This window comes from Homo sapiens, chromosome 7 (assembly GCF_000001405.40).
Source record: "Homo sapiens chromosome 7, GRCh38.p14 Primary Assembly".
Classification (NCBI taxonomy): Eukaryota; Metazoa; Chordata; class Mammalia; order Primates; family Hominidae; genus Homo; species Homo sapiens.
The window spans coordinates 21,645,016-21,659,996 of NC_000007.14; the positions used below are offsets into that span (position 1 = coordinate 21,645,016).

At 37.4% G+C, this 14,981-nt stretch overlaps 1 protein-coding gene across 1 annotated transcript in view; it reads left to right on the forward strand.

The window, feature by feature from the left end:
- DNAH11 (dynein axonemal heavy chain 11) overlaps positions 1-14,981 on the forward strand; it is a 358,801-nt gene that overhangs the window by 101,977 nt on the left and 241,843 nt on the right. The window contains exons 29-30 of the mRNA NM_001277115.2: positions 10,817-10,966; positions 13,783-14,016. Coding sequence (NP_001264044.1) covers positions 10,817-10,966; positions 13,783-14,016 — 384 coding nt within the window. The remainder of the gene's footprint in view (positions 1-10,816; positions 10,967-13,782; positions 14,017-14,981) is intronic.

Consider the following 14,981-nt stretch of genomic DNA (forward strand, 5'->3'; position numbering starts at 1 on the left):
GTATTCTATTGTAGCCCCTTTGGAATTCTCTCCATAGCCAATGTATAAGTTGTACAACAACATTAAGGTTATTATAATGTGAGATTAAAGTAAAATATCACTTCAATGTTATGAGTTCCAAAAATTAAATGTTACAAATGTGGGGTCCTGCCAGCGAGGAGTTTCTAGGCCCTTCTGTGGAATCTGAAATTGTTGTGGTTTCAGCCTTGCTTTGATGTCACTTGATGAAGGTTGTTCAGTTCCAGCTTGAACTCAGTGGGTAGAGCTTCCAGCTATAACAGATTAGCTTTTCACAGAGTACTGTTCTTTCTGGAAACAACTAGAAAAGCTGGATAAAATATTTAACTGAATCTGTTTAAATGCACTGAAGAGCATTTAAAGAGTATTGAAGAATAAGTGTGCCAGGGGCTACGATAGCAGCAGTTTGGTGCTGCTTTTCTCCTCGAGACATTTGATAATTCATAGATGTGGCCAACGGCATGAGAAGCTGATCAGAGCTTTCAAGAGGCTCGTGGAACTTGAAAGAAGGAGAGAAATAAAATAAAACTGGAACTCAGGCCCCATTAAGGAGGATATATACAGAGAATCAAACAATAATAACAAATGGTTCTAAGGTGGATTGGATAGAAATTTGCCAGGGTAGGGGGAGGAGGAATCTACTATATCTAAAAATCAGATATCTAAATCAGATATCTAAAAATCAGATATCTAAATCAGATATCTAAAAATCAGATATCTAAATCAGATATCTAAAAATTAGATATCTACCATATCTAAGAATCAATTCCAGATGGATGTAGATCTAAATGTGAAAGGTGAAACAAACGATATACAACATGTGAGGAAGGATATCTTCATAATCTTGCACTAAGCAAAATCTTCTTAAATTGGACACTGAAGTCCTAACTATAAACAAAAAAATGGATAAATTTGACTATGTTAAAATTTTAAAACTTTAGCTTATCAAAAGATGCTCTTAAGAGAATAACAATGCAAGCTGCAAAGTGGGAAAAGGTGTTGGCAATGCAAACAAAAGACTCATATATGGAATATATAAAGAACTCCAACAAAAAAACAAAGGCAGATTATCTAATATAAAAGTGGGCAGAATACTTAGTTCACAAAAAAAAGATGGAATGGCTAGTAAACATAAGAAAGGTTGCTCAATTTCAGAAGTCATCAGGGAAATGTAAACCAAAACCACAACAAGATGAGATAACAGGATGGCCAAGATGAAATAACAGGAACTGGATTTACCTTCTTGCCTGAAACAATGAAAAATTTCAACAAAATATATGAAAAACAGCAGCTTTCTAGACGCTGGACATCAGGCAGTGGGGATTCATGACAGATGAGGAACAGGGATTCATCACAGGTGAGGAACAAATGGAGTGAGCACTATGATTGTCTCAGTTTTCTGTCCTGAGAGAGTTTCCAGGCCATAGCACATGAAGGGAAACCCAGACAGAGTCCAAAGTGACTATACTTTGCAGAACTGAGTACCACAGAGGAAAGAGTTGTACAAAGAGAACTCCAGAGACTTCTGGAGAGTATTAGGCAGAGTGCTGAATAGTGCACTACATGTGAGGAAACTACCCAGGCCTGGGGAAAGAACTATCAGGTGCCCAGTGAGCTCCAGCAGGGCAAGAAATAATGGCTGCTTCTACCAACTAGACTTGAAGCCCTTATAATTTATAGGTAGAATACTGACAGGGTCTTTCCTGGTAGCGGGGAATAAATAGCCCTAGATTAGACACTGCTCTAGTCCCACCAAACAAGTCTTAAATAGCAATATCCAAAAGGATCAAACCTTTTCCAAGTAATTTATGCCAGGAAAAAAATCTCAAAAGTATGGGAGTGAAAATATATTCATTTTTAAGCAGCGTAAAGTTCACAATGTCTGGCATTGCATTAAAGTTTACTGAGCATGTGAAGAAATAGGAATATTCAACCCATGAAAAAAGAGACAAATCAAAACTGACCCAGAACTGACACAGATGATAGACTTAGCCAATAAGATATTAAAAGTAATTATATGTGTATTTCATGTGTTCAAAAAGTTAAGTGAGACCTGGAAAATATCAGAGAGCTTAATATGTGTGCTAGGACTTCCCAAAGTGCGGAACAAGAAGAAAGATAGAAAATATTTGAAAAACAACAGCCAAAAGTTCTCCAAATTGATGAAAAGTACAAAAGTGTAAATTCACAGACTTAAGAAATTTAATGAGCCCAAACACAAAAAAAGAAAGAAAACTACACCAAATTGCTCAGATTGGTCAAAACAATATAGAAGTCTCAAAATCATCCATAAAGCCATATTTTATACAAATGAACAAACATAAGGATGACAACAGACTTCACATTGGAAACAAAGCAAGTAAGCAGACAGTGGAGTAGCAATTTCTTTCTTTCTTTTTTTTTTTTTTTTTTTTGAGACAGAGTCTTACTCTATTGCCCAGGCTGGAGTGTAGTGGCCTGATCTCGGCTCACTGCAGGCTCCGCCTCCCAGGTTCACGCCATTCTCCTGCCTCAGCCTCCTGAGTAGCTAGGACTACAGGCGCCTACCACCACAACTGGCTAATTTTTTTTGTATTTTTAGTAGAGACGGGGTTTCACCTTGTTAGCCAGGATGGTCTTGATCTCCTGACCTTGTGATCTGCCTGCCTCAGCCTCCCAAAGAGCTGGGATTACAGGCATTAGCCACTGCACCTGGCCTACAGTGGAGTAGCAGTTTCAATGTACTGAAAGAAAAAAAACACCTGTAACTCTAAAATTTTATACCCAGTAAAAATACCTTTTTAAAAAAGGATAGCAAAATAAAGATGTTTTAACACATTCAAAAACTCTTAAGATTTCATCACCACCAGACTGGCACTACAAGAAATGTTAGAGAAAGTTCTTCAAGCAAAAGGAAGATGACACTAGATGGAAATTTGGATCTATACCAAAAAATTATGAACACTGAAATGTCAACTGTATGGAACTAGAAAAAATTGGAGCATTAGCCAATCATTAGAAGATGGAATGGTACCAAAAACATAGAAACATTGAAATAATATATATGTAAGTTTAAATACTGGTGCTGTTGATTATAATAACTGGCTATGTTATTGCTTAACCTTTCTGAACCTCAATATCCTTATATACCAAATGCAGAAAGCAGTAGGTATTGTCTGTTTGGCTTCTAAGTAACAGGCAAAACAAAGTGCATAAAGAACCAATAAAAGTACGTAACGTACAATAATGTAAAATTGGCCACAAATTCTTTCCCTTCCTGTATCCATGCCCTTTGAATGTGATGTGGCCGTATTGATCAAGGCTAGAAACTAGTTCTCCATTTGGGTTGCCATATGACTTGTTTTGGCCACTGTGTCATTAGCAAAAGCTTGAAAATTTTTTGTATATCATCACTTGCCCTTTTGCTGCTCTTTGAAAACCTGTAACCATCCCATCATGAATGGGTCAACCCTAGCCTGCTGGATAATGAGATGAACATGCCCATACCCAAGCTACCAGCTGAGCAACCATCACACACATGAGAGAAGCCACCGATCACCAGCAGGCTACAAATATGTGGGACAGCCCAGCTGGACTAGCTGAGGCAACCCAAAACCAACACACAGAATTGTGGCTGATGAAGAAGCCATTAAATCTTGGCGTGTTTTGTTATACTGCAAAGTTAATTAATATATGTTATGTATTTACATATTTATATATGTGTATGTGGATATATATTCATCAGTATCAAGGACTCTTTGTGCTACTGATTTAAAATAAAATATTTTACTTGAAATTTAAAAACAAAGCAAAGAATTGATTAAAACAAGTACTAATCCAAGTTTTTGTTTTCTTTATTTCTTTAATTTTTTTCCCTTCCTGAATACCTTGATATTATTGTTTTGACATCAGTGAGTTTGGGAAGATTGGTGAAAACATCATAAGTTAATGTGTTTCTCTTTACTTAAAATACTCTGCCTAGTAAAGTATTCATTTTCCCTTCTCTTTTTAATTTGTGTAGATATTTCCTAAATTGTTGATATGATTTGGGATTCAAAAAACACATATACTTGCTCATACAATGAGATATCAAGATCAAACCCACCAAAGGCTAAAATTAAAACTCACTAAACAATGGAAAGGATGTGGAGTAATGGGAATGTTCATATCTAGCCACCAGTATTATAAGTTAGTACAACTACTTGGGAAAACTGTTTAACAGCATTTTCTAAATAGGAATATATCATACATTTTTATCTAGCAGTTCACCTTTTCAGTGTACACTCAGCAGAAATACATAGATGGACCAAAAGAAGTATACAAGAATTTTCATAGCCACTTTATTTATAATAGTCCAAAATGGGAAACAATTTAAATGTCCCTTAACAGTGGGATGGCTAAATATATTTATATATTGTATTGTCTTTATACAATGGAATACCACATAGCAATAAAAATGAAGAAAACCTAGTGGTATACCAAATAACATGAATAAATTCAAGTGACATAATATCGAACTATAGGAGGCAGATGCAAAAGAGTACGTACTATGTGAATTCACTTCTATAAAGATAATGTCCCTTTTTAGAGAAATAGTAACTGGCATGCACCATGAGGAGTCTTACGGGTGCTGGTATCCTACTCTTTTTTTTTTTTTTTTCTGTAGATGGAGTCTCACTCTGTCACCCATGCTGGAGTGCTGGAGTGCAATAGTGCAATCTGGACTCACTGCAACCTCCACCTCCTGGGTTCAAGCAATTCTTAAGCCTCAGCCACCTGAGTAGCTGGGATTATAGGTGTGCACCACCGTGGCCAGCTAATTTTTGTATTTTTAGTAGAGATGGGGTTTTGCCTTGTTGGCCAGGCTGGTCTCAAACTTCTGGCCTCAGGTGATCTGCCTGCATTGCCTCCCAAAGTGCTGGGATTACACACGTGAGCCCCCATGCCCAGCGACTATTCTATTCCTTAATCTTGTGGTAAGCACAAGAGTTGTGCTTACTTTGTTAAAATTTATTAAGTTGTACACACATGATTTTTTCCCATTTTTCTGCATATATGTATTGCAATTTCCAAAAGTTTATTTTAAAAAAAACCCAGCATTTGTGTTGTGAACACATTTACATAAAATTATACAATTTATGCATGTAAACATTTTATGAAAGAAACACCAAATCAACCTTATATGCACTGATATACGGATATGTTTAAGTTACAGTAATAAGTGAGAAATCAAATTACAAAATATTATACTGTGATTTTATTTTTGGCAAAAGCAAATCTGGATTATGTAAGTAATTGCATGTTCATTATTGAACGTTTGACAAATATAGAAATACATTAAAAAGTTGAGATTAATATACTCATTGCTATTTTTGAGTTACTATAGTTTTTTAAATGTGTCTGTGTTTGTGAGTTATAACATATATACTTAAACAAAATTGTAATATTCCTCTACAATTTGATGTTTCATAGCTGTAAGAGGTTTCATTTTATGAATGTGCCATACTGATTTAACTAGCTTCTAGAAGGCCTTTTTTTTTTTTTTTTCCAATTTAGATTCTTAACCATATTGCATGCCTATTTCCCTGTACCATCACCAAAACTGTTATTTAATTTTATTATTTTATTATTATTTTTTTCTTTGGAGATGGAGTTTCGTTCTTGTCTCCCAGGCTGGAGTGCAGTGGTGCAATCTCAGCTCACTGCAACCTCTGCCTCCCGGGTTCAAGCGATTCTCCTGCCTCAGCCTCCAGAGTAGCGGGGATTACAGGCACATGCTACCACACCCAGCACATTTTTGTATTTTTAGTAGAGTTGGCGTTTCACCATATTGGCCAGGCTGGTCTCGAACTCCTGACCTCAGGTGATCCACTTGCCTCTGCCTCCCAAAGTGCTGGGATTATAGGCGTAAGCCACCGTGCCGGGCCCAAAACTGTTATTTTAAAAAAAAAAAAAAACACATGCAACTATTTACTATTTTGACACATTGACTTAAGTTTTTACACATGTAAAAATCATGGACTCACTTTATCTCATTCTAGAGAATATCATCCACAAAAGACCAGGGCTGCCCATATTTTGGTCATGATTTATATTCTTACAAATATTATTATGAATATTGTCATTATGAATAAATTAGTTAATGAAAACATATGAATGAGTCCTGAGGTGCTCACCAGGCAGGAGTGGCACTAGGCTTTGTGTATATTTTATCCCATTAATAAGCGGCAGCAGCATCTTTAGGTAGGTAGGGCAAATACGAACTTAGATATAGGCAGAAAGCAAGCGGTATGGTTTGAGAATATAATTGTAAGCTGCCGTAATTTCATCTTTCTTCCTTTTTTATTTTTTATTTATTTATTTTTTTTGAGACAGAGTCTCGCTCTGTCACCCAGGCTGGAGTGCAGTGGCGCGATCTCAGCTCACTGCAACCTCCGCCCCTCCAGGTTTAAGCAATTCTCTGCCTCAGCCTCCGGAGTAGCTGGAATTATAGGCGCGTGCCACTTTTCCCTTTGTTTTCTAAGTGAACAGTAGCTGTGAGTCATGACGGTAGATCAACTGATCACTGTATGCATTTTAAATTATAAAATTAGCTAGTGATTAGGTATTTTCAGTTTACTTACAATTAGATAAATGTAAGTTCTTTTATTTCATAAGAGGTTCTCCCTGTGCAGAGTTCTGATATTTATGAATTTCAGTCACTAAGGTTTGGTTAAATAACGCCAGTGCCCTGGCAACATGGTTCAAATTTCAGCTACTATGGTAAATTAACTCTTGAGTGATTGCATAAAGCACATAGTTGATTACTAACTCTCCAGCCCACAAAAATCACTGCCTAAGTAACAGATGTGCATCATCATCAGTGACAGTCATGTCACATCTTTCTAATTCTGTCAGTGATTAGCCACTGTGCTGCTTTTACTCACTTCACACACAGACAGCTAAGCTTGTAGTTCTATGATGAACCTACATGACATTTTTCATTAGTTAATGGACAGAAGGAAATAGTAACAAAGTTGGAAGTGTAGCAAAGAAATGAAAATTGATAATGCTAGAAGCAAAAATGGAATCAAACATAGATGGGAGTCACAGAAGAGAGAGCTGACGGACAGTGATGACCAGACACCACCAGAGAGAGTGATATGCAGCCAGGGGAACTTAGTGAAGATAAACTTGGGAACATAAACGACAACAGTGGTTTTGACAAAAAGAATGAAGATGTACCAGAGGAAGTGATGCCAGGAAAAACAAACATATTAAATAAAACAAACCTCCCAAACAACAAAAACTGACTTCACATTGAAGAGAATTACAATAAATTTCATGACATTGAATGCTTGAAAGGTAAAATGTTGATGGCCGGATATAAATTCAAAGGGAGTATGAGTTTGTCAAGGCAGAGAAAAGATGCTCGTTCTGTACCTTAAGTAGTAAGATGAGAAGGAGGCAATGCTATTCATATAACTTAAGTTTTCTGCAACGAAGACTGTTTAGTGTTTTAAAATGCAGTTGACAAAATATTAGTTTATGGATTTTTTTGATCTCCCTGTATGTTTATAACCAACAGTGAGAAGCTTTAATGTTTTGACACAAATTTGTAAAGGTCATTGTCCCATCGTAGGTTTCTCCCATTGATCATTCAGATTGCATAACGTGATTTCAACTGGTGTGGTCATTTTTATGATTTTGTACTATTCTGCAAAGTCAGGACTACCTGTATTCAATTTTTGTACTAATCTTTTAGAAACCTACTCAAAATACATGGTGAGTTATTGGTTCTTTTTAAAAAATGATTTGAGGTGCTCATATCCTTTCTCTATCAAAAGAGGGGCCTACGAAGTATTAGTTTTTTTTAATATTTATTTATTTATTTATGTATTTGAGATGGAGTTTTGCTGTTGTTGCCCAGGCTGGAGTGCAGTGGTGCCTTCTCGGCTCACTGCAACCTCTGCCTCCCAGGTTCAAGTGATTCTCCAGCCTCAGCCTCCCAAGTAGCTGGTATTACAGGCATGTGCCACCATGCCCAGCTAATTTTGTATTTGTAGTAGGAACAGAGTTTCACCATGTTGGTCAGGCTGGTTTGGAACTCCTGACCTCAGGTGATCCACCCGCCTTGGCCTCCCAAAGTGCTGGGATTACAGGTATGAGCCACTGCACCCAGCCTAATCTATTCTTTTTAGTTGTAAAATGAAAGGCCTTTCCGAACAGCTCACTGGGAAGAAGGAATTTTAATTTTGGGTTAACAAATACGAAGCAATCTCATTAAAAATAGAACAAATCTGAGGGCAACAGGGGCCACACGAGTTAAAAAAATAGTCTTGTTCCCTCAGAAAGTTTAAATAGAAGACAGTATGAAAACATCTAACGTCAACTATGCCATGTATAAGAAATAGGAGAACTCTGCCTAAGATTTGTGTTTCCTGGTCATTGAGTTACTATAGAGCTAGAAGTTCTTGAAATTATTTTCTCACCCAAGCCGTAATGTGTGAGGGTGTCTGATGGCTGAAGGCTCATTTATCCAAAGGCTTTTCAGTTGAATATTATCTAGGCCCATTACACAGTAGAAGCCATTCAACATCTGTGTACTTCCTGGCCACTTCAGCTGGGAGAGTGAATTATGAGATTAGTGGAGACTTTCTCTATATTAATATCCTCTGGGTAATGTACAGGGATGGAGGAGAATAGAACCCAAGCTGTGATCAGGCAGCTACCGCTCTATCTGTGTTTAAAGTAAGCGAGAGTCTCAAAAACTCATCTATTTGAAACTCGGAGGACTTCTTGCTGTGATTTTCTTTGATACTAAAACTGCATGTACAGCAAAAATGAAAAGGCTGAAAGCTTTAAAGATTAAATCACCCTAAGGAAGTTCCTTGCCAATATTGGTGTTGGTCTTGTCATGCAGAAAATTTAGGCAGGTTGCTATTGTTTCTAGAAGTTGCTGTGGTATACTTCTCATGTCCAGTTAAACTGCACTTCCAGAAAAGTTTGTTACAGCAGTGGCGCCTGTATGCTTGGAAATGTTTTGTATTGCTTCACCCTATCTTCTGGTTATCAGCAGCTCATATTTATTTTTTTCTGTTGAGGTGAAATTTAACATTAAATTAACTGTTTTAAGTGTGCAATTCAATAGCATTTTGTACATTCACAACCACCTTTTATCTAATTCCAAACCATTTTCATCAAGCCGAAAGTAAAACCCCCTATCCATTAAGCAGTACCTTCTCATACCCCTCCCTCCAGCCCCTAGCAGCCGCCAATCTGCTGTCTGTATCTATGGATTTATCTCTTGTGGATATTTCATATAAATGGGATAATACAAGATACGACGTGTGGTATATTGTGACTAGTTTCTTTCATTTAGCTTATATTTTCAAGATTCATCCAAGTTGTAGCATGTATCAGTAATATTCCTTTTAATGACTGAACAATATTCCGTTGTATGGATATACCACATTTTGTTTATCCATTCATCATTTGATGGACATTTAGGTTGTTTCCGCCTTTTGGCTATTGTGAATAATGCTTCGATGAACAGAGATGTACAAATACCTGTTTGAGTTCCTATTTTCAACTCTGTAGGTATATACCTAGGAGAGGAGTTGCTGGATCATTGCTAATTCTATGTTTAAGTTTTTGAGGAACCACAAAACTGTTTTCCACTTAGCGGCTTTTATTTGCACCGTGAATAACAAGGGAACATGTATTCCCATTTCTGATACTTCTTCTGGGCCGCCCCTGCCCTTTACTCAGTCTACCTCAAGAGAGATGATAGAGTAACTTCCCTGATTAATAAAGTCTGTTCTCTTTTTGTCTCCTTGGGTGTGAATTTACCTACACAACACATGTCATTCTCTCCTTTCCTCCATGACAAAAACACAGGGCAGTGCTCCCCAGAGGAGGATTGTTCCGGTCTGTGCTAACATAACAAGATGAATAAGTGTTGTTCATTCTGGGGTTGCGGTTGGAGGCCAGATAGATTTTGTTCTTCAAACTGACTTCTGCAAAATAAATGCTAATGTTTTGTCTTTGATCTGATCTTTGTTGTTGTTGGTTTTCCCCCCCCACCCCCAAATTGTCTGGAGCCTGCATAGAGTTCAATGTGCTATTTACTGGTTTTGTATTGGAGAACGCAAAACTTAGGATGTAAGAGGTTATGACACCAGAAGAACTTGATCTTTATAGATGTGGCCTGGAATTATAGGTTCATTGTCTAACTGTCCACTTACTTTTAGTTATGTCAACTTGGAGAATTTACCTAATATTTTAGTTTTAATTTCCTCATCAATGAAAAGGGAGAAATCCTACTCATCTTTCTTATGTACCAAGGATACTGTGGGGCTCACCAAAGTATCAAGGCAAGTGCGTGTTAACAGATAATCTCCCCCAAAAGTAAAATTCTTTCTAATTGACATTTTTCATTTCAGACATTTTAATAGCTTTTTCATAGTGTACACTAATGCTAGGAATCTGAATTTTTAAAACTTTACTACAGAAGCCCCAGTAGGATGCCTGTCTACAGGAATATGGTACAGATAGAGAAGTCAGTAAGCATCCAGTCATCAAGTAGAAAATAGGTCACTTTTCATGGTAAGCATTCATCAGCCAGTATGTGATGATTTGACCAGAGTGACTGGCCACTTCACCACCAAGATCCTTTCAAGCTCTCATATTTTAGAAGTGACTTTTATTTTGAGGGAAAACATTTTGAGACAACTCTAACTCCATAACGTTTCATGACTTCATATGGCATCATCTCTAGATTATCAGAATATACCTACAGTAAGAAATGTTCTTATCTTTTCTAATATTCTCATTTTAGGTAACATGTCACCTTGCCAAACTTTTCGACAGCATTGCAGATCTGCAGTTTGAAGACAATCAGGATGTTTCTGCACACAGGGCAGTTGGAATGTACAGCAAAGAAAAGGAGTATGTCCCATTCCAAGCCGAGTGTGAATGTGTGGGCCATGTAAGATTTGATTATGAGGTTTTCTATGCTAGGGGAGTATTTTCAGCATGCTCTTAGAAGGTTGAGTTCAACAAGCAAAAAATTCAACCCAGGTCAAATCAGGCTCTGCTTAGTTTTGTGCTCGGAGGTTCCTTTTTATCTGTATCCACTGTGACAGAGGGCTCTTCTGCCATGCGTCCCAGTTTCTACTCATGTGGCTTTGGCACCCAGCAGGGTCTCAGAGACGCTAGGAATTGAGCTAGACAGAAGCAACTGTCACAGATTGAATGAGTGACCCCAGAATTAGTAGCAAATGCAACTCAGTGACTGAGTCTGCTACAAAGAGTATTCTGTTTTCACCACTGCTCGGAGAACAGAGAAGGGTTATAGTGAAGCAGCACCTTGCAATAAAGCTTGTTTTAAAGAGGCTTTGTGGTTCAGTAGTCCATTGTGAATGTTATAAATGGCTCCTCATAAATAAAGTTGATCGAGTCTAGCAAGCTGATGTCCTGTACTCTAATTACCATGTGCACAGAGTTAAGTTAGCATATTCTCTCCTCTCACAGCCAAATACCTCAAAAATATTCTTAACAGTTATCCGCAAGAATGGCTCATTATGATTTCTGAAAGCGTTTCTGGTGTGTTCAGATGATTTAGGGGAATTGCATCTTTTTATGATGGAGCTTGCGTAGCTTGGGTTAATCCACAGAGTAACTGATGGAATAGTGTCTAGTGGAGAACCATTTGGGTTGGGGCAGGGGTTCCTGAAAGTATTTGCAGAAAGATGAGTGGCAACCTTATTTCACAAGGGTTTTCTTTACTCCTTTCTGTTGCTTTTTAATATTGTACCAGAAAAATCCTGCCAAATGAAGGAGAAGCAGATGGTGGAATACTTTGATTAAAATATATTTTTTGATCTCTTGGGCTTTTTAGGATGATATTATAATGATTAGAAAAAGTTGCCATAAACTCTCTTGACAAAAGTGTGTTGCTGTCTGCTCCCTCCCAGCAAACTGCTCACCGACTGGCATGATGCCCGGAGGGGGATAGTCCAATTGATGGATGTGGTTGTCACTAGCAGGAACCCTTGATATTGAAAGTTTTTATAGTGCTCTAATTTATTCTGTATAAGCAACTTATGCTAGAGACTTGTAAACATATACAAATTCACCCTCTAATTGCCTTTGTTTTATAAAAAGATGCTTTTAATTTGGTGCTTTTTTGTATTTCTGCCTCTTTTAATTGGCTCACCCCAATTTAGTCCATTAGTGTATTCTTCAGCAAGTGTTGAATACCTACTATGCATCAGATGCTAGGTCAGGCTTTGGGGAGTTCCGAAATGGCCCTTGTCTTCGAGGAGCTCTTAGGCCCATTGAGAAAATGGATATGCACATAATAATGGAGGTAGCAATTGTTGTTATAGGGGGTTGGTTGAGAAGTGCCAAAAAGGGAAGGATCCAGCAAGCACCTCATCAGAGCTTAGTTCTCAAAGCATACTGAGTTAGGTTGCCATTGTTGGCACAGTCATCTGTACGTGAGCTGACATATTGACATGTATGTGTGTTTGGTCTTCCCAAATGGACTGCAAAGTTCTTGAGAACAGGTGGCCATGTGGAGGATATGGATCCCAGGGTATCCAGGAGACATACAATAATGACTGAATTAATGAGGGAACTTGTTGCTTGATGACCTTAAAAGTTACCCTTAGTTATTAAGGCAGAGATACCAGACCCCATTGGTTAGATCAGAACAACCTGACATAATTCGGTTAATCTGAACTCATGCATGTTAACAAAGCACAGTTGTGAAGCCAGAGGGAAGGCCCTTAAGAAGAGATACTGAGGCCATTTCCAGAGCAGTGTTTCCTGTTTCTTTCAAGAGAGGAGGTTGTCCACTCATTAACCACTTATCACTCCATTCCAATTCTTCAGAGGTTCTAGGAATGCTGCTGCTCTCTTCACAGGGGTGGAGGAAGAAGTCAGTTGTATCATCTTCAGAATCTCATGTGATTCTTGGTATTTATTTTTTATAGTCACTTTTTATTGCTATGGTCAATTATTTGCAAATAATATATGTATCACTTTAATTATATGATATCCTAAGAAAATAAATACCTGGATTAATATAACAAAATACATTTGAACAGGATGGAAACTGGGCTAAGTTGTATTTTTGGGCGCAAACTAAGCTTCAATTTTTTAAAAAAAAAAAGATTAATTTTTACAAGTCAGCAGTTGTCCTATGTCTAATACTCTCCTGTGGTCTAATTTCTGACAAGTGTGAAGATTAGAGCCAGTAGGGAATATAATTAAGGTACTTGCTGAAAACATTTTATCTTAAAACTGTGAACTATGAAGATTTTAGAGAAGAATTTTCAGTAGATTTAAAAATTAATAGAAAAAAATTTAACTGAATTTTTATTATTAAAGCTCTAGAATATGACTCATACCTCTATAGGTGTCTGTGATGTTTGGCTTCTGAAAACACTGTGTGTTACCAGAGGGGAATCTTGGTCTAGAACCTCCTTGCCTTCAAAGCTGAGAAATGAATAGTGAAGAACCCCTTTTCTGTTTAGGCTGTGGAAAGTTGTTAGCCAGCTGGTGGGTAAAGTCAGATGAGCATTATTCCTGGGAGAAGGCGGGTTCCTGCAGGAGAAAGATTTCACCAATCCGTTGTTCACTTTCCCCTTTGAGTTATGCCTCTTGCAGTTTTCTACCTGGGTTTAAAATGAATCCACCTGGGGCATTACCCTCTGCGTGGCCTTAGAGCCAGTAGGAGGATGAAATTATCCTTCCATAGTTAAGCCTGTGTTATAACATTTCAACTTGCTTCCAAAGGTGGAAACATGGCTTCTGCAACTTGAACAGACTATGCAAGAAACGGTGCGTCATTCTATAACAGAAGCCATAGTGGCCTACGAGGAAAAACCTAGGGAACTGTGGATTTTTGATTTCCCAGCTCAGGTTGCACTAACCAGCTCACAAATATGGTGGACCACAGATGTAGGAATAGCCTTCAGTAGACTGGAAGAAGGCTACGAAACAGCCCTGAAGGATTTCCATAAAAAACAGGTATTACATAGATTTGTGATTTTGAGACATAAAGGAACTTCAAGATGTAAGCTTGCTTCATTCATTCTTTTAGTCATTCATTTACCGAGTGTCATCTGTGTGCAAAATACTATGCTGGGAAGATTTTAGCAATCAGTTGTTAAATCATTTTTTACCTTTGTGGTATCCTTCTAGATTTCTTTATGGGTTTTTAAAAAGTACATCGTGTCTATTGTCTTCTAAGGCTCTAGGATAGCACTCATACTAGATACTGTACATGCTTATTTTCTTCTGTGTAAGACTCTCCAACTAGGCAGATCATGTATTTATTAGAAAATATGTGCATGATTTGCATTATTCAAAATGGTGGAGGTTGGCTCAGCAAGAGCAAATATTTTCATGGGCTTTGGTTTTCTGTTAATTATAAATTACAGATGAGAACTTTGAAAAATAATCTATTTTGAATTCTATTTTATTGATCCCAGTTATCCTGTGACCTTTCCTTAAGTCTTTCATCTTAATATGTGCTGTGAGCTATATAACAGTTCAGAGATGTAGTCTTTCTTTGGTCTTATAGAATCAGAGTATATTAGGCTTGAAAAGGAGTTTAAGTATTAGTTTGTCTACTCTTCTGGTTTTCAGTGGATAAAATCTGAATCCATAAATATGAAGTGGCTTTCCCAATGTTGCACAGTTTATAAGTGAACCTGGTAGGATTGTACCTTCTTCCTGGTACTGAGTTAGAATGCTTCCCAATGCTCCTCATCGACCCCTTTTCTGCTTTAGCAGTACTTTTACTTCAATAACTTGAGAATCAAATAGATTTAGATAGTGAGTGATCCTTGTATTGTTAACACATTTGAAGATTCAAGTGTGGATTATTCCTTTTAATTTTACTCTTTCAATCTTGCATAGCGACCACCCAACTTATTTATATTACTAAAGAAGTGTTTGTACCACTTACTTTTGGGGAAAAAGAAATTCTT